Here is a 26,210-nt window from a genome sequence, read left to right as displayed (position 1 = left end):
GCTCACTGTGCCAGTCCCAGAGAATCTGCTAAGAAAGTTCTTGAAAAGTAGAGAATTAACACAGTCATCCTTTAAAAAAAAAAAAAGATTGTTTGTTTTTAAAAAATATTCATCTTTAGCAAGGTTTGGATTAGGATGGTCAAATCTCAGTCAAGAAAGCAGTCTTTCATGGCACACCAGAAGTTCCATTTTCTCTCGGAAGTTGATAGATGGCTCTCTGAGTCTCCCCTGGTTTTCTGTCTCTTGTCCTTTCAGATACGGTGGCCACATGGCCACACTCCATCTCTTGGGCTCCATCTGTCAGACTCTTAGGCCCTGAAGCTGTCAGTGACACAAAATGTCTTACACTGTTTTCTAGGAAGCTTGTCTAAGTTGAGCTGTAATTTGGGCTTTTGACACAGCCTTTAGCCTTCATCTTTCTGAGATGCTGGCATTTCCATTCTCTAATTCCACAGGCTTCAAAGGCCCGTTTACACCTTGCCCTGTCATGCAAGGCCTTCTATAATCTGGCTCCAACCCACCAGTCCCTTGCAGGAATCGTCTCTCCAAACATAGCACCTCCCCCACACTTCTGGATATGCCTTATGCTTTCAGACCTGTCTTTGCTCAGGCAATGTCTTTGGTTTGGTGTCTTCCACTCCCTGCTGTATGGGGATCTGTCCTGTTCTTCAAGCCTAGGTTATGTCCCTTCTCTTTCATGAAGGCTTTCTTGCTCTTTCCTCTGCATTCCTCTTGTCTCCACCCCTTCTGAGCCCCTCCTATATACTGCGGCTAGCTGTTGGTATATCAGCTGTGACTCTAGCATGGTCCCGAGGGAGCAGGAACCACGTTCTCTTCTTCATGTCCCCCAAAGCTCCAGGCATGCTTTCTCCTCAGTGTGCCTCCTCCAACGCTCCTGTTTCCTGCCCCACAGCTGCAAGGTGGAGACAACACACACATGACACTTACTGGGGGAACCTGAGTTCGAGTCTGCATCCATGTTTCTAAGGGCGAATAATAAGTCCTCAGTGAAGGGGATGGGACAAGTCACATGTCACACACTGCTTGGCGTTAGCAACTCGGATGCCTTCTACTAATTATGTCTGCCCCCTATTCAGGTCACAAACTTGAAACAGTGCCCCTGACAGAATTAAACCCAGCCCTGGGCTGAAAACATCCTGGTCCACCCAGGGGGCATTTAATTGTGGGCTTCCTTTCTCACTCTCTGCAGACTGTGTTTTTTTAAATGTTTATATTTTATTTCCATTTCTTGCATTACTTTACTCCTAGATCACAAAATATGTTCCTTAACAAGTTGTGAGGTCCTGATCCATGAAACCCTCACTATTTAACATGAGCAATGTCAAGTACATTTTGCTTAAATATTTTTAAAATTTAAGAGCAAATATCCCAGGACTTTGGGAGGCCAAGGCAGGCAGATCATGAGGTCAGGAGTTTGAGACCGGTCTGACCAACATGGTGAAACCCCATTTCTACTAAAAATACAAAAATTAGCCGGATGTGGTAGTGCGTGCCTGTAATCCCAGCAACTCAAGATGCTGAGGCAGAAGAATCGCTAGAACCCGGAAGACGGAGGTTGCAGTGAGCTGGGATTGCGCCACTGCACTCCACCCTGGGCAACAGAGTGAGACTCCATCTCAAAAAAAAAAAAAAAAAAAGGAGCAAATATTTCCTCTCTTCCCCCAGACCCCTGCTAGAAGGAAGTACATCAATAATGGCAACTTCGCTCTAATGCCAACAAGTCACAGACTGAACTTTACCTCCCTTCTGTCCCTTAAATGCAGCCACTTCTCTTACCCGCATCTCCGCTTTGGCTGAACCCTACAGCTCGCTTCCTAGCGGCCACACATCCCTTGCCCCAGTTCCCCACCACATTCCGCTGTGCGGCTATTCAAATCAGAGCTTGCCACTTCCTTTGTTCTTATTGCCCTTGGGATAAAAAAACAAAACCTGAGCATGCACTCCATGGTCCTGTGCATCTAGGCCTGTGCCCCTGTCCTCATGTGCTTGGGGATCCAGCACCACAGCGGGCTTTCAGGCCTGGAAATTCCCTTCTCTCAGCGCCTCTGCTCATGCCTGTTGGGCCTGCTCAGAGCACTCTTTTCTACTCTACTTGCTAAAGTAACTTCTATCCTCTTGGATATTTGGTCTCAAACAGCCCTTTATCCAAATTGTGGGAGAAGGTGAGGCCTAACCCGAACCTCATAGCATCTCATCAGTGACCTGCACACACAGCCCGTGTGTAGAATACCCTATGCGTGTGTTCACCTCCTCATTCTTTCCAGTGTGCTCAGCGCTGACATTCCCACACTGCGCACAATGCCTGATCTGGGAGCACAGGCTAAAACTCTGGACTGAATGATTTAATCATTTCATTAATATGCAATGAGTTGTATTTCCCCCAGACACTATTTATGTGTGGAACCTGTTTAACCTCAACTTCTGCTTTGTGGTCTTTACAGCCCTGTTAATGTAGGAGATAAAACTTTTCCTTAAGTACTGCAATTCATTGATTTTTTTTCTTTAAATATGATGAATTGTCTTTGGGTCATTTCATTTATTGAAGTGGCAGGTTTAATTTGATCCTTGCAGACATCAGTAAGTCACAAGAAATTGGCACACACATTTACACAGAAGTCTAATAGAGGTCACTGATTTGTTACTGAGACATTTGACTCCCACACCTGGCCTCCTTCCAAGCTTGAGCTCTTACTCTACTTTGCCTTCCTATGCCATTGACAAAATCAAAAAGCAAAGGGAAGGGGAGGACCATGACCCAGGAGGGCAGGACCATGCAGTTCAGGGTTCCAAATGGCCAGTACCATCCAGGAGACAGGTCGGTGCCTCTGGTCCAGCTGCAAGTGCTCTTCCTTTGACTTGTTTGGGAACAGAGGTGTCCGAGACATTGAGTCCAGAAGCTTCCCCCCAGCCCCCAGCATGAATGAGAGTGCCCTGTCAGGCTTGCACTACAGGGAGCTTCCCTGTATAAGGGAGATTTTGGTCTAAACAGAAGCAGCATCCTCCTCCTTAACTGGAGGAGGATAGTTCTCGTCAACTTCAGGCATGAGTGATTCAGACAAGCATTTCTCAAGGCATCATCTATTCCATAGGACATGTGTCCACCGATGGCCTGGGGGCTGCATGTGACTGTCATCCCTTTCTGGGCACAGGAGTGAAGGATGATCCCACCCTGCCTCTGTCACCTGGAGCAACACAACAAACCTCTCTGTGCTGTGGTTTCTCCACTGTTGTAGTCAGGCTGGGTTGGGTGTTGTGAGGACAACACGATAGACAAGGCAAAACTCTACCCTGAAGGGTCTTGAGCCCTAGAAGATTACAGAAATAGTCCACACTAGCTGCTTTCCCTTGAAAAGAGGACTCTTACGGGAATCAAATATGAAAACAGATATGAACAACTGCTTTTTAGGAAAATAAATAAAAAAATCCACTTGGTGTATGGCTAATATTATTTTTTGTAACATAATAATAGATATGAGTTGTCTTTTGGAAAAATAAAGAATAGGATCCATGTAGTCTATGGTTAATGTTATTTTTGCTAACGGTGCTAAGTGCTAGTTTTCCACAATTCCTCCAGCACTTCCACCTCAATTTTTCTTTTTGTAGATAATCCTTAGTCTCAATATGACCTTTGCTTCAATGTTTTACCGGGCCCAAATTACCAACAAGTGTACCCATTAAAAATACAAAAATCAGACTTGCTAGTATAAGGTGAGATAGTGGAAAGATGTGTTGATAGCAGGGAGTAAACAGCTACACAGAAGTATTGCTGTTGTTGAAAATCATCATACTAAATAAGTCTCATTGTGGGAAACTGCCCTTTGAGAGGTAGAATTATAGACTAGGTATGAATCCTAAGTGGACAGAGTCAAAATTTTATTTAACTTGCGCAGATCTCAAATTTCAATAATGAATATGGAAAGTAACTGAAGATGTTAAAATTAGTGACTTGTATGCCTTACCAAAGGAACTAACCATGCTGTATGTGTGTACCCAAAGCCTCCACTACCTGGGTGAAGACAGGAGCCTGGTTGAGCTGACAGAGGGCCCAAGCACAGTCCTAGGCTTCTCTTACCTGTAGGAAAATTTTCAGTTCCTTTAATGAGAAAACATTCCACTGTCCTTAAATATCCCGTGAAAATGACTGAACATTATGTGCATATAGATTACTAGAGTTCCCAGATGAGAAATGGAAATCATAAACCACTCATGTGTCCTAGTGCACTAGATGGGGACACCTCAGGCAAAACTGACCCAATAATCATTTGAACTAAGTGAAAAATCCACCCCAAAGAATTCAAAGACAAAAAGAGTGTGAAAGTCAGTATTTTCTTAATTTAATTTGTTGTGGAAAAAGCCACATGTAAGGCAACAAAGGACACAGGAAGTTACTCTCCAACATGGCTCCTTGTTGGATGGAACATTAAGTGCTAGCACTTACTCTTCCCTGCACTTCAGCTGGGTATAGGCCAAGAAACTCTCAGGAAGCTACATTGGAAAGAAAAATGTTGCCAAATTATTACATCTTATTTAGGAAAATCTCTGGAGGACGGAGAAGAAAGAGGTAGGAGGAATGAATTGGTTAATCTTCGTGGCTCTCTGGAATTCAGTATTCACGAGGACAGACTCAACAGTCTTCTTAGAAGACAGAGCAAAACTGAGAAAATCTATTTTCTTAGTGCATCCCATCCTACCTACCAAACCAAAGTTGTCATGTTACTTTGTCCTGGATCATTAACAGAAAATGCAGAAATGTAATTGTTTAGACAAACTGTTTTGAGCTGCTAATATATTTCCAAAACGAGAATTTTTCAGATGTTATAAAAGAAAACCAAGGTGTCTTTTTTTAAAGATGATTTTTTAAATATTGAGCCAAAAAAATTACTTACCACCCAGATGACATTGGATGTTTCAATCCTACTGATCTGGATCTGAAATACCATTTTCAATTCCTGATGATAAGGAAGGTTGTGGACAGTCCATTGTAAGTGCAAACTCTGACGCGTAGAATTGGTGGAAACTTTAAGTGATACAGGAGTCAATGGTAAACGTTCAGCCAAGACTGAAAAGATCAAAATGAAGTATGAAATAATATTTAATAGGAGCATGATTGAAGAGTCAGAAATAATTAAACTTGAATATCATCATTATTTAGCTCTGGAAAATATTGCTCATATGTGCATCCTAGAATCAGACACCTTGGAAATCTGGAAGAGAATTTAGAAATCACTTAGCAGACACAGAAATTAAGATCTAGATGAATGAAATGACTTGCTCAATAATACACAGCAAGCTCATACATTGATAAACAGGTAAACAAAACAGAAGGATCCTTTATTGGACAATCTAACCGGTTGGGAAATTTATAACAAGGCTGAAAAAAAGAAAGAAGACTTTTTGATGGAAATGTTACATTTCTGAACATCAGAAATGAAAGTTTCCTTTTTGAAAGTCAATATTTTATAGTTTGGTAAAAGACTACAATGTGGGAGCATGTATTATCTGTAGACATGGTCATTTGTGTCTCAATGTATTTAACTTAAAGACTAGCAAGAATTCACTGAACTCTTTCGATGAGACCAGCAACATACCAGGTATTTGATGTGAAATAAAATAATTGTGACAAGGTTCCTAGCTCAAAGAAGGAAGCTAGTTGGAGAGACATGATGAACTCATATGAAATAATCAAGAGAGTGGAATTTTAGACTAGTTAGTGGTATGACACAGTCTGTAAAAGAATAGGAATTCAAACATGAAACAGATTTGCTGAAGTTGGTGGCCTTGGGAAGCAGCAGCCTATCTCTTAGGCTGACTGCATAAACCACCAATGGCGCCACTGCAAATGGCTTGCACACAGAGGTTTAAGCAGATATATCTGCCACTAGAGAGAGAATGTGTCCTGACTAAGTGAGTTAAGTCACTGCTGATTCTTAAAGAAGAACAAATCATGACTTTCCACTTAAGAGGAGGAAAACACCATATAGATTGTAAAATAATTGTGTATTGCTGATTCAACTATTTCAACTGTGAGGGTATCAGAAGTAAACTGGGAGTGGTACAAAGGTATTGAAAAGATAAAGCCTGCATCGATAAAATCAGCTGCTATCTGATGACTCATGGCGTAAGAGATATCATCTTTTAAGCATTCAGTTTTCTAGTTTCAGGGGGATTTCCCCTTGTCATTTGAACCCCTCAAACGTTACGTTTAAATGGTAAGAGATTATCTCATTTTGATAATAAACAATGGAAACAGTCTCCAATACTGAAAAAATGTCCCCAAATTGCCATTCTGCACATGCTATTTTTCTCTTAGGGAAGTAAAAATAACAACAATGAAATTGAGCACATGTTATTTACCATGCACAGTGCTAGGGTCTTTACTTATGTTGTCTCATGCAATGCCTACTATAAAACTGTTAGACAGCAATTTTTTAGATAAGGAAACTCAAGCTCAATCAGGGTAAATAACATATACAAAGCAATGTGAAATTAAATAGGAATCTCTCTAATACCAACACCTGTGTCCCCCTGTACTGTCCTCCAACTGTTAAGACAGGAGCATTGGCCCAGTCAAAGTTTGCACGGAATGGAATGTCTGAGAAGTATTTTGCATGGCACCAACAACAAAGTCCTACCATGGTCAGGACACAGGTGACAGGATGGGGCTCTGCATGGAGCCAGATAAACTGAGGAGCATTCCTGGTGGATACAAGACAAACATGATGTTTTTCTTGTGATTGGTCCACATAGTAGAAAGCTTCAGATTCAAATGAGGCATAACCTCAGAATTTGGAGGAACACCTCAGAAAACTCATTCTATGAAAGTGAGATGAACAAGAATGCCCATAAAAGGAAAGGGAGCCACAATGGCTACCTTCCCTGAAAGTTACCTTGTGATATTTTGTAAATGTGATGCTGGGAAGGGCTAGGGTGATAACTATAATCTCAGCGTGAATTCCATGACCCTGAGTTTGGCAGTGGGTCCTTAGATCTGAATCCAGAGTATGAGCAACAACAACAACAACAACAAATAGACAATAAAATAAACAAGTTTGTGCATCAAATAACAATCACAAAAAAGTGAAAAGACAACATATAGAATGTGAGAAAATATTTGCAAATCATATATCTGATAAGGTTCCAGTATCCATACTACATAAAGAACTCTTACAAACCAGCAACAAAAAGACAAAGAACTCAATTTAAAAATGGGCAAAAGAGTCGGCAACATGGAAAAACCCTGTCTCTACCAAAAAAAATACAACAAGTAGCTGGGTGTCATGGCACGTGTAGTCTCAGCTACTCAAGAGGCTGACATAGGAGGATGGTTTGAGCCCGGGAGACAGAGGCTGCAGTGAACCGTGATCACACCACTGCACTCCACCTGGGCAACAGAGTGAGACCCTGTCACAATAAAATAAAATAAAATAGAATAAAATAAAATAAGTCAAAAGACTTGAATGAACATTTCTCCAAGGAAGATATATAAATGGCTAACAAGCACATGAAAAGATGTTCAATATCATTAGTCACTAAGGAAATTCAAGTCAAAATCACAAAGAGGTACCATTTCACACCCATGAAGATGGCTATAATAATTTTTAAAATGGAAATAACAAGTGTTGGCGAGGATGTGGAGAAATTACAGCCCCTGTACACTGCCGGTAGGAATGTAAAATGGCTCCACCTTGTTGAAAACGTTTTGACAGTTCTTCAAAAAGTTAACTCCGGCCTGAGTGACAGAGTGAGACCCTGTCTTCAAAACAAAAAAGTTAAAATAGAATCACCATATAACCCAGCAATTCCATTTGTAAGTAGATATCCCAAAGAATTGAAAGCAGGAATTGAAACAAATAATTGCCCACAAATTTGTAGCAGCGTTATTCACAATAGCCAAGAGGTGGAAACAACTGAAACTTTCATCAGTGGATGACCAGATGAACAAACTGTGGTATACACACACGAAGGACTGTTACTCAGCCATAAGAAACTGAATACTGATACATGCTACAATTGGATTAACCTCACAAACATCATGCTAAGTGAAAGAAGCCAGATACAAAAGGTTTTATACTGTGATTCCATTTGTATGAAATTGCCAGAATAATAAGTACCATAGAGACAGAAAGTAGACTGGTAGCTGCCAGGGGCTGAGAGAGAGGGGAATCAAGACTAACTGCTTAAGCAGTGGTTTCCTTTCTGGGGTAATGAAAATGTTTTGGAACTGAATTGGGTGATTGTTGCATAACATTGTGAATGTACTAATATTGCTAATTTACTCACCAAATGAGTATCATGAATCAATGTCACTAATTACTCATGATAAAAATGCTGGCATAACACAGAAATTGAGTTTCTATAATCCTACTCTTTTCATTCTATTGCCAAATTTAAATCATATATATTTTTATTGGATTTTCCCATGCGCTTTTTAAAAATGTATTGGAACATGTACCCCATTTTATGATTTTTAAAGGACATTTTTTTTAAACAAATAAAGGGAAGTAAAAATAAAATGTTAACAGTCATTATAACAGTAATTATTTCTGGAAGATGAGGTTGAGTGATCTTAATTTTCTTCTTTATACTTTTTGGTATTTTGTAAATGTTCTTCAGAAACATGTATTAGTTTGAAAATCAAATAATAAGTTATAATATAAAAGAAATACTTCCTTAAGCTATCTGATTCACTCCACTATAATCATACCTCAGAATGTGCAATTCCTCCTTAGATTTCCTAAGCCCTTGTTTGGAGCACTGATTGCAACATGCTGTAAGAGCCTGTTTCTATGTCTGTCTCCCTGTAGACTGTGAGTGAAACAAGGTTGAGACTCAGCCTTACTCAGCTCAGAGAAACCAAGACTAAGAACATACCAGTTATGGTATTCAGCGATTGGTTGCTGAATGCATGAGTCAACTATCAGTCTAAACTTTACTTCTGGAAGCTCCAGACAAAAGAAGAACGCCTTATATTAACATACGCTATCAGTGAGTGCTGAATGACTCAGGTGCTCAAGTGACATCAGTCAAAAATAATCTGGTTAAAAGCAATCTAGGACTTCCTTGGGAAATAGTGGAAAATGCCAAGGTTAAGTCAGTGGGATCAAAGAATCATAAAGATTATTAAATCCAATCCCATTATTTTTCAGACGAGGAAATTGAGGTTAAAAAATGGGAAGTGACTTTGCCACAGCCGCACAATCAGACCAGAACCTAGGGCTCCTGGGTCTCTGTCCAGCTCTCTTTTTATAATGCTGGAGTATGGCCAAGAAGGCCAGGTTTGGGAATCAGACCAGGACTTAATCACATACTCTCCTCCCACTTTCCCCACCCTGTTTCTCTGACCATCCACAACACTACTCAAGGAAATAAACCATTGTCCATTCATAAGAAGGGATATCATGCAGCAATTAAAAATAATGTTGTTTCTAGAAGAACATTTAATATCAAAGAAAAACACTCATCATATGTTGTAGTAATTGTTTTAAGTAATAAAAAAATCCTGAGCATATATATATACTATAATTTAACTTTTATTTAAAAACACACTATGTATTCATCTCCCTATCTCTATCTGTATGTACATATACACAACAGACAGAGGAAAATATTGCTGCAGTCATAATCTCTGGCTGATGGAAACATGTACCCAGGGTTAACTGAAGAAAGTCTTGGCTCTGCCTCGTTGATTGGAGAAATTAAGCCAGGTTATTTGGAATAAATCTTCAGATCTGTATCTGGCTGGGTGATTAAGTGGTAAGCCAAATAGTTTGAGTGGGAGTTTAGTAAGTACTTGGTTAAATGCAGCAGAAATTGAGACAAGAAATCCAAATAGTACAGGTCAGGGCAAAGACAGGATTAATTACCAAAGAAGGCATGCTTGACAGAGAAAGCTGGAAGCAGCAGTGAAGATTGGTTGATAGAAAAACAGGGAAATGCATGTCTGATCTAAACAAAAGAAGCTGAAAGCATGAGCAGCAGAGCTTGCTCTGAGAATAGAGTGGCTTGTATGTAGAAGGCACATAGTAAATAGTGCTGGATCAGAAAAGGGAACTTCACTAGAGAATGAGCTGGGCTGAAAGCTTAGAGTTAGATGCCTGGGATTTCCTGGAGACCCTGTGTAACCGAGTACCCCATTTTTCTAAGAAAAGGAGAATGAGTTACTATTGTTTTATTATTTTCTCTTTTCCCCAATTCCCTCTGTTCCCCACTTCCTACTTAGCCCTTTGGAAATGCAATTATAACCTTTTATCTCCCCTTCACCAGACACTCCCTACAAGGCAAGTTCATCTGTTAATAATGATATGCTTAGAAGCTCCAGAGAGGAACTCTCACCCACCAGGAGACTGCCTTGAGAGGTAACAGTTGATTTACAACCCAAAGTATGCCCACTGTGAAACTCTCTCCCACCTGGAGAATTTTCAGCCACCTTACAGCCTATTTCTGCCCATGAAGATGTCAACTCAACTAACCAGTAGATAAGGCACCAAAGTGAGTATGCAGACCCCTACCTGCTCACTTCTGCCACTGCATAGGCCCCCTGCTTTAAAAGTGCCCACTTTCTACTCCAAAAGCAAAGCAGTCCCTTTAAGGAGGAAAGCTTGTCCTTATTCCCCTAAGTTAGCTTTGGTATAAAAAGTCGGTTTTATTTTTATACCAGACCTTGCTCATTTTAATTGGACTCTGCAAGCTGCAAGCAACTGAACCTGCATTTCGGTTACACCTGGAGGTGGGGCAGTGGGTCTGTTTGAAAATACAAAAAAATTAGCTGGGCGTGGTGGCGTGTGCCTGTAATCCCAGCTACTCAGGAGGCTGAGGCAGAAGAATTGCTTGAACCTGGGAGGCAGAGGTTGCAGTGAGCCGAGATCGCGCCACTGCACTCCAGCCTGGGTGACAGAGCAGGACTCTGTCTCAAAAAAAAAAAAAAAAAAAGAAAATCATTCTTATTATATGGTTTGACCTCTCAGTCTGGTTGCACTGTGCTTAGATTTTAGCAAGTAAGACAGAGTGAGCGAGAGGTATACATACTACAAATGAGAAATCCTAATTCCCACCTTTCAGCCCCAGATTAGAAGAGACTAACATCAAACTATGGTTTTTAAGATGCTGAAAGAAACAGCATAGTAGTGTCTTCCCATGTGCCCTGGACCTAAAATAAATAAATCCAGATGAAAGGAATGTCAGACAGAGAATTGAGCAATTATCAGAACAATGTTTCCTTTTTTTTTTCCAAATATATTTTCATGGAGTTTCAAGAAAGATGAGAAATTCTATGCATATTCCCCGCAAAGATCATTTTCATGAATCTGTGGACAGGAACTGCATGGATAATTACTAGGAGCAAACACCTGTACTCTCATTTAAAAGGGGAGTACAGCAAAGAATAAATACAGGAAGAGGAAAATGTAAAGCTTTGTAAAATACAGATGAAAGATACAAAAAATTATGAACCAATAGAAACTCAAGTCTAAGATCTACTTCTAAACAAGTTCAAAGTAATATAGTATCAATAAATATTTTAGAGGTATTAAATTCTTATTGACCTTATTTATAAAGTTAATTTATCTCAAAATATCTTCCCTTGGGGAGTAGCTAAGTGACAAATATTATTTATTTATAAAACATTTCAGCATTTAGCATATTGTCTTTCAGAGTCTTGAAAGAGTTTCTATTGTTTCATATTTTCATTGCTTTTACTCATATTTTACTAAGCTAACAGCTTCTCAATGAACATAGTTGAGGGACATAAAAACTTGTACTAACCTAGAGGTCAGCACTGGTGTGGTATATCCAGTGTCTTTTCTCAGCAAGGTACAGAAAGAACTACTTCGATGATGGTCTGATAAAATATATCCATCATGAAATTCTATGGGATTAGGTCTATTTACAACTGCCCTAATGACCAGTGCACTGACCAGGAAGTCAGGGTCAAAGGGTGGCTTATTAAGAGAGCCATCAAGATGACAGAGGCCAAGACTAAGGCAACCACTGCTTAGAGAGATTGACAAATCTCCTCATGGGAGATACTCAGGAATTTTAAGTAATTCCCAAAGAAAAAAGAACTGTTTAACTTTTTCCCAAAGCATCAATGACTTCATTTGTTCCCGACGTGATTTTTGTCTTTACTGTTCCTTCCACTTCTTACCTTCACTCTGGTAAGTCCTCAAGGACAGCAATGTTAAGAAGAATGTTGTCTGAAAGACTGCAAATAGAGCCATCAGTTCTGGTTTTCTGAAAAAGATAAATTATAAGAAGGAAAATTTTATTTAATTTTCAATACTGGCAAATTTCTTCGAGCCAATTGTGGTAGATGAGGCAATAAAGGCTCCCATACTTCTCCCTTCCCTGTATCCATGCCTCTTGTCATGGTACTTTAGAGTCCCCCCAAAATAGGAAGACTATATTTCCCTGCCCCATGGGACCTTTTTGGGTCTATAAATGAGGCATAAGTGATAGTGTGCCAGGTAGGATGGTGTGCCAGTTTCTACCTACTCTTTTGTGTTTCTACCTTTGACATGAAAAGAGCATTTATGGGCTACCCTACTATATTAGTCAGTTTTCACACTGCTGATAAAGACATATCTGAGACTGGGAAGAAAAAGAGGTTTAATTGGACTTACAGTTCCACATGGCTGGGGAGGCCCCAGAATCATGGCAGGAGGTGAAAAGTACTTCTTACATGGCAGCAGCAAGAGAAAATGAGTAAGAGGCAAAAGTGGAAAACCTTGATAAGCCCATCAGATCTCATGAGACTTATTAACTATCACGAGAATAGCACAGAAAAGACCGGCCCTGATGATTTAATTACCTCCCCCTGGGTCCCTCCCACAACACGTGGGAATTCTGGGAGATACAATTCAAGTTGAGATTTGGGTGGGCCCACAGCCAAGCCGTATCACCTACTGGAACCAGAAGAAGAATGAGCAACACATGAAACAGAGAGGGCCACCTCAGCTGCTCTAGCTGAGACCAGCCTAGATCAGCCAGCAGCCAGCCAACCCCAGACAAGAGCAGCTGACCCCAGGTGAAAGAGCAATAAATGCTTATTGCTGTGTGCCACTGATGGTTGGTGGCAATGGATAACTGATCAACCAATTCATTCAGACCAAGCAAAGATTGGTAAAGAAAGGTCAAGCAGAGAAACAAGAGTTAAATATGGACCACGAACTCTGATTAGAAAGAGAACAAATACAATAGTCTCAAGAGAGCTAAATTTAAATTAATTACTTGGAGGTGAGGGCATCTCCATTCTTCCCCATCTCCAAATATAATAGTCTCAAGAGAGCTAAATTTAAATTAATTATTTGGAGGTGAGGGCATCTCCATTATTCCCTATCTCCAAATACAATAGTCTCAAGAGAGCTAAATTTAAATTAATTATTTGGAGGTGAGGGCATCTCCATTATTCCCTATCTCCAAATACAATAGTCTCAAGAGAGCTAAATTTAAATTACTTGGAGGTGAGAGCATCTCCATTCTTCCCTATCTCCCTCATTAAAATTTAACCTAGGTTAGCATATTCTCCCAAGAGACAGTTTTTCATTATTCCAAATAATTTCCGGTTTTCCTTTCCTTAGAAAAGAATTGTAAAGAGCCAAAGAGCTTCACTGATTCATCAGGTACTTTGACCACGGGAAAAATCTGAGGACATCAAGAATAAGGCTGGATGACCTCAAAAAGGTTAATACGTTCTTAATTTAAGAACAAATGTGTTAGTCAGGGGAAGCACTGAATTTCACTTTTCTCCTTCAAACTCTGACTCAGCAGAGGGCAACAATGAAACAATTAATTTGAAACCGATTTTTGCCTCTGTCCAGCCACCTGGATTTTATCAAAAGCCAGCGATTCAGTAAACCAGATAATCAATTGTTACTGCCTATGTCCTCTATTTTAAAAAATAATATTTTACAGAAAAGTGGGAACAACAGTGAAGATAAGGAGGGTAAACCACATCATCAAATTATTCTAGGGTGGTCAGACCTGTCTATAGCTAAGCCCAATTGCAAACAGAAGCAAAAGTCTGCAAAGAACAGGTTTTGTTTATATTCCTTTAAGCACCTCTTTCCACTGCTTTCTATTTTTGGCAAACAAGTCATTCATACTTCTCCAAAATCTCTACTTAAAACTTCAAATAGAATACACTGAGGGAGGGACTTCAAGATGGCTGGCTAGAGGGACGGGGCACTCACCTCCTCTTAAAAGGACCAGTACAGTAAGTAGATAATCACATGTTGAATAGAGCATCGAAGAGAAACCACTGGAATTCAGCAGGGAAGTGACAGAGAACCCCTGAGAAGGAGAGAGAGGTAAAGCAGATGACCCAGCCAGGATTGGCTCAGAGCAAGAAGAAACTCCCCAGTGCCAGGAAAAGTTAAGTGAGAGATCCCCAGTGGTTCATATTCCTACTGTGAACTCCTATAATCCTAGCCACAAGACAGCCCCTCCACCCTTGCCAGCCCTGAGACTAGCATAGGGAGCTCTCTGGAGCCTGTGTGATGGCATTGCTCCAGAGAGGGAGTGTGTGTGGGGTCCCCGCCCCCTCCCTCTCATCAGCACAGGACCATATTGAGAGCCCACCTCCATAAGACTACATCCTGTGCTGGGGCCAACAGACCCTGCTCTCCACATTCCTGCAGCCCTGCGGACATCACCCAATATCCATTCAGAGGGCTGTGGTGTTGTAATGCTGGATGGACCCAGCAGTGTGGCTGTGTCCCCAGCACTCTACCTCACTCAGTCTATACCCGGGGGAACAACTGGTGCAGCACACTGGGGAAGCTACCCTCAGAACAAAAGAAGCCAAAGCATGTGCTCCCAAAAGCCTGAGAGTCCATTACTTGGGGTCACTGTCACTGACAGCAACTCTAACCTGCCCCCCACCTCCAGCATCAGGGCTGCCACCCACCTGCATGTACTTTTAGGGGGGCTGGGGACCAGTCCACCCCACCAACCACTGTCACTAGCACTGCCTGAGTGCATTGTCCAGGGCCCTAGGGATCAACTTGCCCCACCTACCACAGCTAGCATTCATGCACAACATCGGGAGGCCTGAGGACAGGCTTGCCACACATAGCACCACCCTCACTAGTGCCTGCACACATGAAGCGGGGGCCTGGGAATTGATCTGTCTTGCCCACCACCTCTGGCAGCCACTCACACTTTCTGGAGTCCTGAGGACAGGCCTCCCCCAGCCTGCTGGTGCCCACATACATCATCCAGGAGCCTGGTGATTAACATGCCCAGTCTAACACCACCAGCATCTGCACCTGCCTCCTGGAAGCCTGAGCATGAGCCTGCCATCATCACTGCCACCAGAACCCACCTGCACACAGTACCTGGAGTCTGGGAACTGGCCTGCCACAGCCCATCACAGCCACCACCAGCACTCATGTGTGCTGCCTGGGGTCCTGAGGGCTGACCAGCCACAACTACCATTACCAGCACCACACATGCTGCCCAAGGGCCAGAAGATCTGTCTGCCTGCCTGGCCTACCACTGCCACTGCTGGCACCCAAGCAAGCCACATGGAGGCCCAGGGATTGGCCCATCCAACCCCACTACCACTGGTGCTTATGTACATCAGGTGGGCATGTGGGGGCCCAAGGACTGACACAGTAGGCCTGGTGCCACCACCACCAGTGGGGCTCAACAACCAGCCTGTCTGGTGTCCCCATCCTTCACAAAATCTCACCACAGCTTCCACTAACAACAGCAGCCTAAGCCACCAAGGAACTCACAGACACTACTAATGCTGATTACAGCCAAATATATCATACAGAGACTATGCTACTGTGTCCAGCCAGAATCAAAACCTAACCACTCTCTCTACCCAACCAATACTATTGATACAGCTATAGGAAAAAAATTTTTCCCTATGAAAGCAAATCCATAAAATTACAAACAGCAACTCTTTCACCAGATGCTCAGATAGCAATGTAAGGACACAAGAAACATGAAAAAGCAAGGAAACGTGATACCTCCAAAGGAACATAATAATTCTCCAGCAACAGATTCCAATGAAAAAGAAATCTATGAAATTTCTGAAAAAGAATTCAAAGTAATGATATTAAAGAAACTCAGAGAGATACAATAGAACATAAACAATTCAAAGAAATCAGGACAATTCATATCTGAATGATATCATTAAAAGGAACCAAACAGAAGTCCTATACTTGAATAATTCAATAATTGAAATAAAAAATACAATCAAGAGCTTCACCAGCAGACTAGAAAGAATTTCTGAACTTGTATACAGGTCTTTTGAAATAACTCAGTCATAAAAGCGACAGACAGAGAGAGAAAGACAGAGATACAGACAGACAGAGAGAAGAACTTAAATGAAGGAAGAATGCCTACATGACATATGGGACACCACAAGGTGACCAAATACTCAAATTTTTGGTGTTCTATAAGGAAAAGACATGGGCAATGACATTGAAAATCTATTTTACAAAATAATAGCTGAAAACTTCCCAATTCTTGCACGAGATATAGACATCAGATACAGAAAGCTCAGAGATCCCAAAAGATATTCAACCCCAAAAAAGGCAGACAGTCAAAAGTCAAAGACAGGGAGATAATTTTTTAAAAAGAAAGAGAAAAGCATCAAGTCATATATAAGGAAACCCCCATCAGACTAACAATGAATTTCTTAGTAGAAAACTTAAAGGCCAGGAGATAAGGGGCTGATATATTCTAAGTACTAAAAGAAAAAAAAAAAAACTTCAGGCAAGAATACTATATTCAGCAAAGCCATCCTTCAAAAATGAAAGAGAAATAGTCTTTCCAAGATAAGCAAAAACTAAAGGAATTTATCCCCTCTACACCAGCCCTACAAGAAATGCTTAAGGGAATCGTATATCTGGAAGTGAAAGGATGATATCTACCATCATGAAAACACGTGAAAATATAAAACTAATTGGTAGAACAGACACACAAATGAGAAAGAGCTATGACTCAGATATATCCACTGCAGAAAACCACCAAACTGCAATGATGAACAATAAGAGAGAAAGAAAAGAAAAAAGAATATAAAAAACAACCAAAAAACAGGATGACAAAATGTTAACAAAATGACAGGAATAAATCTTCACCTATCAATAATAACCTTGAATGTAATGTAAATGGATTAAATTCCCCACTTGAATGGTGTAGGCTGAAAGGATTTTTAAAAATGACCCAACTACATGCTGCTTACAACAAACAAACTTTACCCATAAAGATACATATAGACTGAAAGTGAAGGGATAGGAAAAGATATTCTATGCAAATTGAAATCAAAAGCAAGTGAGAGTAGCTGTATTTAGATAAAACAGATGTTAAGAACCAGAAAAAGAGAAAAAGAAAGTTGTTATATGTAATAAAGGGCTCAATTCAGCAAGAAGATCTAAAAAATACCAAATATATGTGAACCCAACACCAGAGTATCCAGATATATAATAAAGCAAATATTACTAAATCTAAAAGGAAAGATAGACTCTAATACAATAATATTTAGGGATTTCAGTATCCCTTTCTCAGCATTGGAGAGATCATCTAGACAGAAAATTAACAAAGAAACACTGATTTTAAACTGCACTTTAGACCAAATGGACCTAACAGACATTTACAGAACATTTTATCCAACACCTGCAAAATATACATTCTTCTCATCAGCACATGGAATAGTCTCCAAAATAGACCATATTTTAGACCACAAAACAAGTCTCAACTAATTTTTTTTTCTTTGAAACAAAGTCTTGCTCTGTCACCAGGCTGGAGTGCAGTGGCGCGATCTCAGCTCACTGCAACCTCTGCCTCCCTGGTTCATGCGATTCTCCTGCCTCAGCCTCCTGAGCAGCTGGGACTACAGGCACATGCCACCATGCCCAGCTAATTTTTGTATTTTTGTAGAGATGGGATTTTACCATGTTGGCAGCATGGTCTCGATCTCTTGACCTCATGAACTGCCCGCCTCAGCCTCCCAAAGTGCTGGGATTACAGGCATGAGCCACCACACCTGGCCATCTCAACTAATTTTTAAAAACCAAAATCATCTCTCCCCCTCCCCCTCCCCCTCCCCCTCCCCCTCTCCCTCTCCCTCTCCCCACGGTCTCCCTCTCCCTCTTTACATGGTCTCCCTCTGATGCCGAGCCGAAGCTGGACTGTACTGCTGCCATCTCGGCCCACTGCAACCTCCCTGCCTGATTCTCCTGCCTCAGCCTGCCGAGTGCCTGAGATTGCAGGCGCACGCCGCCACGCCTGACTGGTTTTTGTACTTTTTTGGTGGAGACAGGGTTTCGCTGTGTTGGCCGGGCTGGTCTCCAGCTCCTAACCGCGACTGATCCGCCAGCCTCGGCCTCCCGAGGTGCTGGGATTGCAGACGGAGTCTGGTTCACTCAGTGCTCAATGGTGCCCAGGCTGGAGTGCAGTGGTGTGATCTCGGCTCGCTACAACCTCCACCTCCCAGCCGCCTGCCTTGGCCTCCCAAAGTGCCGAGATTGCAGCCTCTGCCCGGCCGCCACCCCGTCTGGGAAGTGAGGAGCGCCTCTTCCCGGCCGCCATCCCATCTAGGAAGTGAGGAGCGTCTCTGCCCGGCAGCCCATCGTCTGAGATGTGGGGAGCGCCTCTGCCCTGCCGCCCCGTCTGGGATGTGAGGAGCGCCTCTGCCTGGCCGCGACCCGGTCTGGGAGGTGAGGAGCATCTCTGCCCGGCCGCCCCGTCTGAGAAGTGAGGAGACCCTCTGCCCGGCAACTGCCCCGTCTGAGAAGTGAGGAGCCCCTCCGCCCGGCAGCCACCCCGTCTGGGAAGTGAGGAGCGTCTCAGCCCAGCAGCCACCCGTCCGGGAGGGAGGTGGGGGGGTCAGCCCCCGCCCGGCCAGCCGCCCCATCCGGGAGGTGAGGGGCGCCTCTGCCCGGCCGCCCCTACTGGGAAGTGAGGAGCCCCTCTGCCCGGCCAGCCACCCCGTCCGGGAGGGAGGTGGGGGGGTCAGCCCCCCGCCCAGCCAGCCGCCCCGTCCGGGAGGGAGGTAGGGGGTCAGCCCCCCGCCCAGCCAGCCGCCCCGTCCGGGAGGTGAGGGGCGCCTCTGCCCGGCCGCCCCTACTGGGAAGTGAGGAGCCCCTCTGCCCGGTGAGGAGCCCCTCTGCCCGGCCAGCCGCCCCGTCCGGGAGGGAGGTGGGGGGTCAGCCCCCCACCCGGCCAGCCGCCCCGTCCGGGAGGTGAGGGGCGCCTCTGCCCGGCCGCCCCTACTGGGAAGTGAGGAGCCCCTCTGCCCGGCCAGCCGCCCCGTCCGGGAGGGAGGTGAGGGGGTCAGTCCCCCGCCCGGCCAGCCACCCCGTCCGGGTGGGAGGTGGGGGGGTCAGCCCCCCGCCCGGCCAGCCGCCCCGTCCGGGAGGGAGGTGGGGGGGTCAGCCCCCCGCCCGGCCAGCCGCCCCGTCTGTGAGGTGAGGGGCGCCTCTGCCCAGCCGCCCCTACTGGGAGGTGAGGAGCCCCTCTGCCCGGCCAGCCGCCCCGTCCAGGAGGGAGGTGGGGGGGTCAGTCCCCTGCCCGGCCAGCCCCCCTGTCCGCGAGGTGAGGGGCGCCTCTCCCGGCCGCCCCTACTGGGAAGTGAGGAGCCCCTCTGCCCGGCCACCACCCCGTCTGGGAGGTGAACCCAACAGCTCATTGAGAGCGGGCCGGGATGACAATGGCGGTTTTGTGGAATAGAGAGGGGGGAAAGGTGGGGAAAAGATTGAGAAATCGGATGGTTGCGGTGTCTGTGTAGAAAGAGGTAGACATGGGAGACTTTTCATTTTGTTCTGTACTAAGAAAAATTCTGCCTTGGGATCCTGTTGATCGGTGACCTTACCCCCAACCCTGTGCTCTCTGAAACATGTGCTGTGTCCACTCAGGTTTAAATGGATTAAGGGCGGTGCAAGATGTGCTTTGTTAAACAGATGCTTGAAGGCAGCATGCTCGTTAAGAATCATCACCACTCCCTAATCTCAAGTACCCAGGGACACAAACACTGCGGAAGGCCCGCAGGGTCCTCTGCCTAGGAAAACCAGAGACCTTTGTTCACTTGTTTATCTGCTGACCTTCCCTCCAATATTGTCCTATGACCCTGCCAAATCCCCCTCTGTGAGAAACACCCAAGAATGATCAATAAAAATTTCAAAAAAATAAAAATAAAAATAAAAACCAAAATCATATCAAGTGTTTCCTCAAACCACAACAGAATAAAACTAGAATTCAATAACAGGAGAAACTTTGGAAATTTTCTTTGGAAAAATAGCTCCTGAAGGACCATTGGGTCTATGAATTAGTCAAGGACATAAAAAATGTCCTAATCACGCCTGTAATCCCAGCACTTTGGGAGGCTGAGGTGGGCAGATCACCTGAAGTCAGGAGTTCGAGACTAGCCTGGCCAACATGGTGAAACCCCATCTCTACTAAAAATACAAAAGTTAGCCAAGCATGTTAGCAGGCACCTACTCAGGAGGCTACTCAGGGGGCTGAGGCAGTAGAATCACTTGAACCCAGGAGGCGGAGGTTGCAGTGAGCCAAGATTGTGCCATTGCACTCCAGCCTGGGCGACAACAGCGAGACTCCATCTCAAAAGAAAAAATTACTGCTTAATTCTACCAAACTTACTAAGAACTAACACCAATTCTCAAAGTATTCAAAAAAAATTAAAGGAGAGGAAATTCTCTCTAACTAATTCTACAAGGCTCACATTACCCTGATACCAAAGCCAGACAAGGACACACAAAAAAAGAAAAATATAGGCCAATATCCCTGATGAACATGGAATCAAAAATCCTCAATAAAATACTAGGCAAATAGAATCCAACAACACATCAAAAAGATAATACACCATGATCAAGTGGGATTTATCCCCGGGATGCAGGGATGGTTCAACCTATGCAAATCAATAAATGTGATACGTTACATCAAAAAAATGAAAGACAAAAACCATATGTTCATCTCAATAGATGCAGAAAAGGCATTTGATAAAATTCAACATTCCTTCATGATAAAAACTCTCAACAAACTAGGCATAGAAGAAATGACCCTTAACATAATAAAGGCCACATATGACAGACCCACAGCTAACATCATACTGAATGGTGAAAAGCAAAATTTATTCTCTCAGAATTGGAATGAGAAAAGGATGCCCAATTTTACAACTCATATTCAACATAGTACTGGAAGTCTTAGCTAAAGCAATCAGGCAAGAGAAAAATAAAAGGCATCCAAATTGAGAAAGAAAAAGTGTCCCCATTTACAGATGTCATGATCTTGTATATATAAAAACCTAGACTCCACAAAAACTTCTTAGAACTGATAAATGAATTCAGTAAAGTTTTAGAATACAAAATCAACATAGAAAAACTAGTAGTGTTTCTATACACTAAGAACAAACTGATTGAAAAAGATATCAAGAAAGCAATCCCATTTACAATAACTACACCAAAAAACCTAAAAATAAATTGAACCATGGAGGTGAAAGATGTTGAAGGAAAACTACAAAACACTAATGAAAGAAACTGGAGAAAACACAAACAAATACATTCTCATAAATTGGAAGAAATAATATTGTTAAAATGACCATATCACCCAAAGCAATCTACAGATTCAATGCAATCCCTATCAAAACATCAATGACATTTTTCATAGACACAGGAAAAACAATTCTAAAATTCATATGAAACCACAAAAGATCTCAAATAGCCAAAGCAATCCTAAGCAAAAAGAACAAAGCTGAGACCTCACAACACCTGCCTTCAAAATATACTACAAAACTACAGTAACCCAAACAGCATGATATTGGTATAAAAACAGACACATACACCAATTTATGAGATTAGAGAACCCAGAAATAAATTCACATTTTTACAGCCAAATGATTTTCAACCAAGGTTCCAAGAACATATATTGGGGAAAGGACATACTCTTCGAAAAATGGTGCTGGGAAAACTGGATACCAATGCAGTAGAATGAAACTAGATTCCTATTTCTCATCATAGACAAAAATAAACTCCAAATGGATTATACACTTAAACATAATGCCTAAACTATAAAAATACTAGAAAAAAACATAGCAGAAACGCTTCTGAACATTGGTCAAGGCAACAATTTTATCACTAAGACTTCAAAAGCACAGGAAACAAAAACAAACACAGATAAACAGAACTATACCAAACTAAAAAGTTTCTCCACAGCAAAGGAAACAATCAACGGAGTGAAGAGAAAACCCGCAGAATGAGAGCAAATATTTGCAAACCATTCATCTGACTAGGAACTAATATCCAGAATATGCAAGGAACTCAACTCAACAATAACAACAAAAATTCCATTAAAAAGTGGACATATGTTCCAAATAGACTTATCAAAAGAAGACATACAAATGGCCCACAGGTATATGGCAAAAATGCCCAACATCAATAATCATCAAGGAAATGCAAATCAAAACCACAGTGAGGTGTCATCTTACCCCAGTTAGAATGGCTAGTATCAAAAAGGCAAAAATAACAAATGCTGGCAATGATGCAGAGAAAAGGGAACTCATACACTGTTGCTGGGAATGTAAATTAGAAGAGCCATTATAGAAAACAGTATGGAGGTCTCTCAAAAAACTAAAAATAGAACTACCATATAATCTAGCAATCCCACTATTAGGTATTTATTCAAAGGAAAAGAAATAAGTATATAAAAGGGATCCCTGCACCCCCATGTTTGTTGCAGCGCTATTCACAATAGCAAAGATATGGAATTAAACTGTGTTGTACACCAGACAAGTGATACAGAAAATGTGGTATATATACACAGTGGAATACAATTCAGCTATAAAAAGGAATGAAATCCTGTCATTTGCAGCAACATGGATAGAACTCAAGGTCATTATGTTAAGTGAAATAAGCCAGGCACAGAAAGAAAAATATCACATATTCTCACTCATATGTGGGAGCTAAAAAAAAAAAAAAAAGTGGATCTCATGGAAATAGAAGATAGAATGATGGTTACCTGAGGCTGAAAAGGGTTAGGAAGGGGGCAGTCAACAGGCACAAACATGCAGTTAGATTGGAGGAACAAGGGCTAGTGTTCTACAGCACCACAGGGTGATTATAGCTAACAACAACATATTGTGTATTTCAAAATTGCTGGAGGAAAAAATTTCTCCAACACAAAGAAATGATAAATGTTTCAGGTGATAGATATCCTAAAAGACCCTGATTTAATTACTACGCATTTTATGCATGTACCAAAATATCACATATACCCCCTAAATTATGTACAATTATTATATATACAATTTTCTAAAAGATAGCTGGAAGAGGCTGGGCATGGTGGCTCACGCCTGTAATCCCAGCATTTTGGGAGGCTGAGGTGGGAGGATCACCTGAGGTCAGGAGTTTGAGACCAGCCTGGCCAACATGGTAAAACCCCATCTCTACTAAAAACACAAAAATTAGCCAGGCATGGTGGCACGCCTCCATAGTCCCAGCTACTCGGGAGGCTGAAGCAGGAGAATTGCTTGAACCTAGGAGGCGGCGATTACAGTAAGCTGAGATGGCACCATTGCACTCCAGCCTAGGCGACACAGCGAGACTCCATCTCAAGAAAAAAATAAAAATAAAAAGATAGCTAGAAGAGAGAGTTTTAAATGTTATCAGAAAGAAATGATAAATGTGTAAAGTTTTGAATATGCTAATTACTTTGATCAGTATACAATGTATACATACACTGAAACATCACAACTGTACCCCATAATTATGTATAATTATTATGTGTCAATTTTAAATAAAATTTCAAATGAGTTTGTATTACAACTGAATATTAAAGCCGGGGGAAAACTAATTCTAGAGGAAATAGTTTCTAGTCATAAGCAAGGGGAAGTCAAAGAAAAATCCTCCAAAATGACACTCACTTTGAAATTTAAAATATCCCTTATATTCTGTGGGCTTAGTATATCATCCTCTTCACATTCATATCATTTGAGGAATGCAAGGTGTTCACCACTGAAAGGAAATCTCATCTCATAAATTTAAAAGCAGATGATTCAGAGAATGATGTGCATGTTGCCAAATGTTTTTTAAAAAGGACTACTTAAAATGTTTCTAAAATTTTGATGTTTTCCTAGAATATCGAGTATTTTACATGTCACAAAAAATTAAGGTTATAGGGCAGAAAAACTTAAGACTAAAAATTAGAAGCCACTTGCCATTTAAGGGTAAGCAGAAATTAGAGAATAAAAGCTGTCAAGCAACACAATGGAAAGACATGAGTATTTACAAAAGATGTATTTCTATGGTTTGGGTACCAAAGAAGAGCCTTTGAGAATCATCAAGATAGTCTTGTCTGGGCCAGGCATGATGGCTCATGCTTATAATCCCAGCATTTTGGGAGGCCGAGGCTGGAGGATCACTTGAGGCCAGGAGTTCCAGACCAGACTGGGCAACATAGCAAGATCCATCTCTACAAATAAAAATTAAGATTACCTGGGCATGGTGGCACGTGCCCCTAGTCCCAGTTTCAAGGGAGGCTGAGTCAGGTGGATCCCTTGTTTCTGGGAGTTCAAGGGTGCAGTGAGCCATGATCACACCACTACATTCCAGCCTGGGTGTCAGAGCCTATCTCTAAAACCAAAAATAAAAGATCACAAGATGGTCTTATCTGGAATTCCTGCCCTTTATACTGTCTCTCACATATGTCAGGCTATGAATCCTAGAAGGTTAGCTTTTGTGCTCAGATTCCCTGTTTTCTTCTGTCATCAGTTCACACATGTTGGGCAGGGGCAAGCAGGACACAGTAGTCACTGCCTACACATGAGCAAAGTGATTATTATTTCCAGCAGTGGGACTGGACAAGGCCACCCCCTGTGTTTCAGGCCCCAGGCCACCTGAGGACCACAGACAGAGGGAAGATGAGTCCTAGCTACTGCCCAAAAACCTTCTGCTAAAATCAATAAAGTATATCAAAACGTGCAGAACAGGAATCAACACCTGGCAGAACATTCCAGAGACACTGTGGAGCCTCTTTGATAAATGCCATAGGAACAGGCTTCCTCATGGCTGATGCAGTATGAAAAAACACAGACACCAATGATTCCAAGTTAGCTGCTTCCAAGACCCAAGAAGTCCTCAGTTCTATACCTTGTAAATAAATTCTCCTCAAGTTGTCCTATTCCAAGTGTGCCAACTGTTTCCTGATGGATGGGACCCTGACTAACACAACGAAAAGCCCAGAGGTGAGGGAGAAAACTCTGCAAAGACCCTGAGGTTGGGGGCTGCTTGGAGGATTTAGGGAACGAGGAGGAGCCAGGTGTGACTAGAGAGGAGTGAACAAGCAAGCTGGTGAGAGCCAGAGAAGACATCTAGAGGGCATGCAGACAGGCAGAACAGAGCAGGCAAAATATGGGAAGAAACTGGGCTTCTGCTCTGGGCCAGATGGGAGCCACTGTAGATTTTAAGCAGAGGAGTAACGTGGTCTGGTTTACATTGAACAGAAGCCTGCAAGGATGAGAGATTGAAGGGACAACAGTGAAGTGAGGGACAACAGTGAAGTGAGGGACAACAGGTGGGGGGGTGTGGCGGTGGCAGTGGGGGTTGGGGGGGTTAGTGCAATGGTCCAGGGAAGAATGATGAGGGTCTCAGAGCAGGTGACAGCCGTGGAAGCAGTGAGCAGTGGTGGAATTTGAGAATGATTTAAAAGATAGAGCTGACAGGACAGGGGTGGTGACAAAGTGACACATCATGGATGGCTACAACAGTTTTGACCAGAGCCCCTCGAAGAATGGAATTACTGTTTATGGAGGAGCAGAGGAGTGTGGGAGTAACACACCTGGTGGTCTGTATCAATAGTTCAATTTGCCACATGTTAAGTTCAAGATGCTTATTTCATCTCCAAGAAAAGATGTCAGGCAGCTAGCCGGATACACAGTTTGAAGGTCTGGGAGTGGTCCTGGCTAGGCATATACATTCAGGCATCCTCAGTGCTTACACATAGTACTTAAACCCATAAGACTAGACCATCACCAAACCAGAAGTACAGACAGAAAAGCTAGGAGGTCAGCGCACGAAGCTCTGGGCTGCTCCACACCCTCTACTGTGGCCCCTCCTGCAGATCAAGTGAAAATCCAAGATTGGGCCAGGCTTTCCTAGCTTGCCTCAAGGGTGAGGGCTGTGTGGTGGGGGTGAGCAATCTGCACAGCCCCTGCAGCCCCGACACAGTCT

At 42.6% G+C, this 26,210-nt stretch overlaps 1 protein-coding gene across 18 annotated transcripts in view, besides 2 other annotated features; it reads right to left on the bottom strand.

Moving 5' to 3' along the window:
• The window catches only part of OSMR (oncostatin M receptor), a 99,568-nt gene that overhangs the window by 64,299 nt on the left and 9,059 nt on the right, over positions 1-26,210 (bottom strand). For 16 of the 18 annotated variants that reach the window (XR_925661.1, XR_007058659.1, XR_007058660.1 and 13 more), the window contains exons 2-3: positions 12,164-12,249; positions 4,908-5,080 (exon numbers count right to left, since the gene is read on the bottom strand). Coding sequence is in view for 15 of the 18 variants with exons in the window: in XM_011514161.3 (XP_011512463.1) it covers positions 4,908-5,080; positions 12,164-12,236 (246 nt within the window). In the remaining 3 variants the exon portion in view is untranslated. Of the gene's footprint in view, positions 1-4,907; positions 5,081-12,163; positions 12,250-14,207; positions 14,433-26,210 lie in introns of those variants that run through there. The other 2 variants (XM_047417870.1, XM_047417871.1) reach the window with 2 other exon arrangements.
• Positions 1,545-2,044: an enhancer, noted in NCBI's record as "H3K27ac hESC enhancer chr5:38879339-38879838 (GRCh37/hg19 assembly coordinates)". NCBI's record gives its function as "activates a minimal SCP1, AML or CMV promoter by ChIP-STARR-seq in primed H9 embryonic stem cells {active_cell/tissue: H9 hESC(primed)}" and the evidence as "EXISTENCE:reporter gene assay evidence [ECO:0000049][PMID:30033119]".
• Positions 2,045-2,546: an enhancer, noted in NCBI's record as "H3K27ac hESC enhancer chr5:38878837-38879338 (GRCh37/hg19 assembly coordinates)". NCBI's record gives its function as "activates a minimal SCP1, AML or CMV promoter by ChIP-STARR-seq in primed H9 embryonic stem cells {active_cell/tissue: H9 hESC(primed)}" and the evidence as "EXISTENCE:reporter gene assay evidence [ECO:0000049][PMID:30033119]".

This window comes from Homo sapiens, chromosome 5, assembly GCF_000001405.40.
Source record: "Homo sapiens chromosome 5, GRCh38.p14 Primary Assembly".
Classification (NCBI taxonomy): Eukaryota; Metazoa; Chordata; class Mammalia; order Primates; family Hominidae; genus Homo; species Homo sapiens.
Note: the sequence above shows the minus strand (reverse complement) of the source record. Positions and strands in the feature narration are given on the sequence as shown.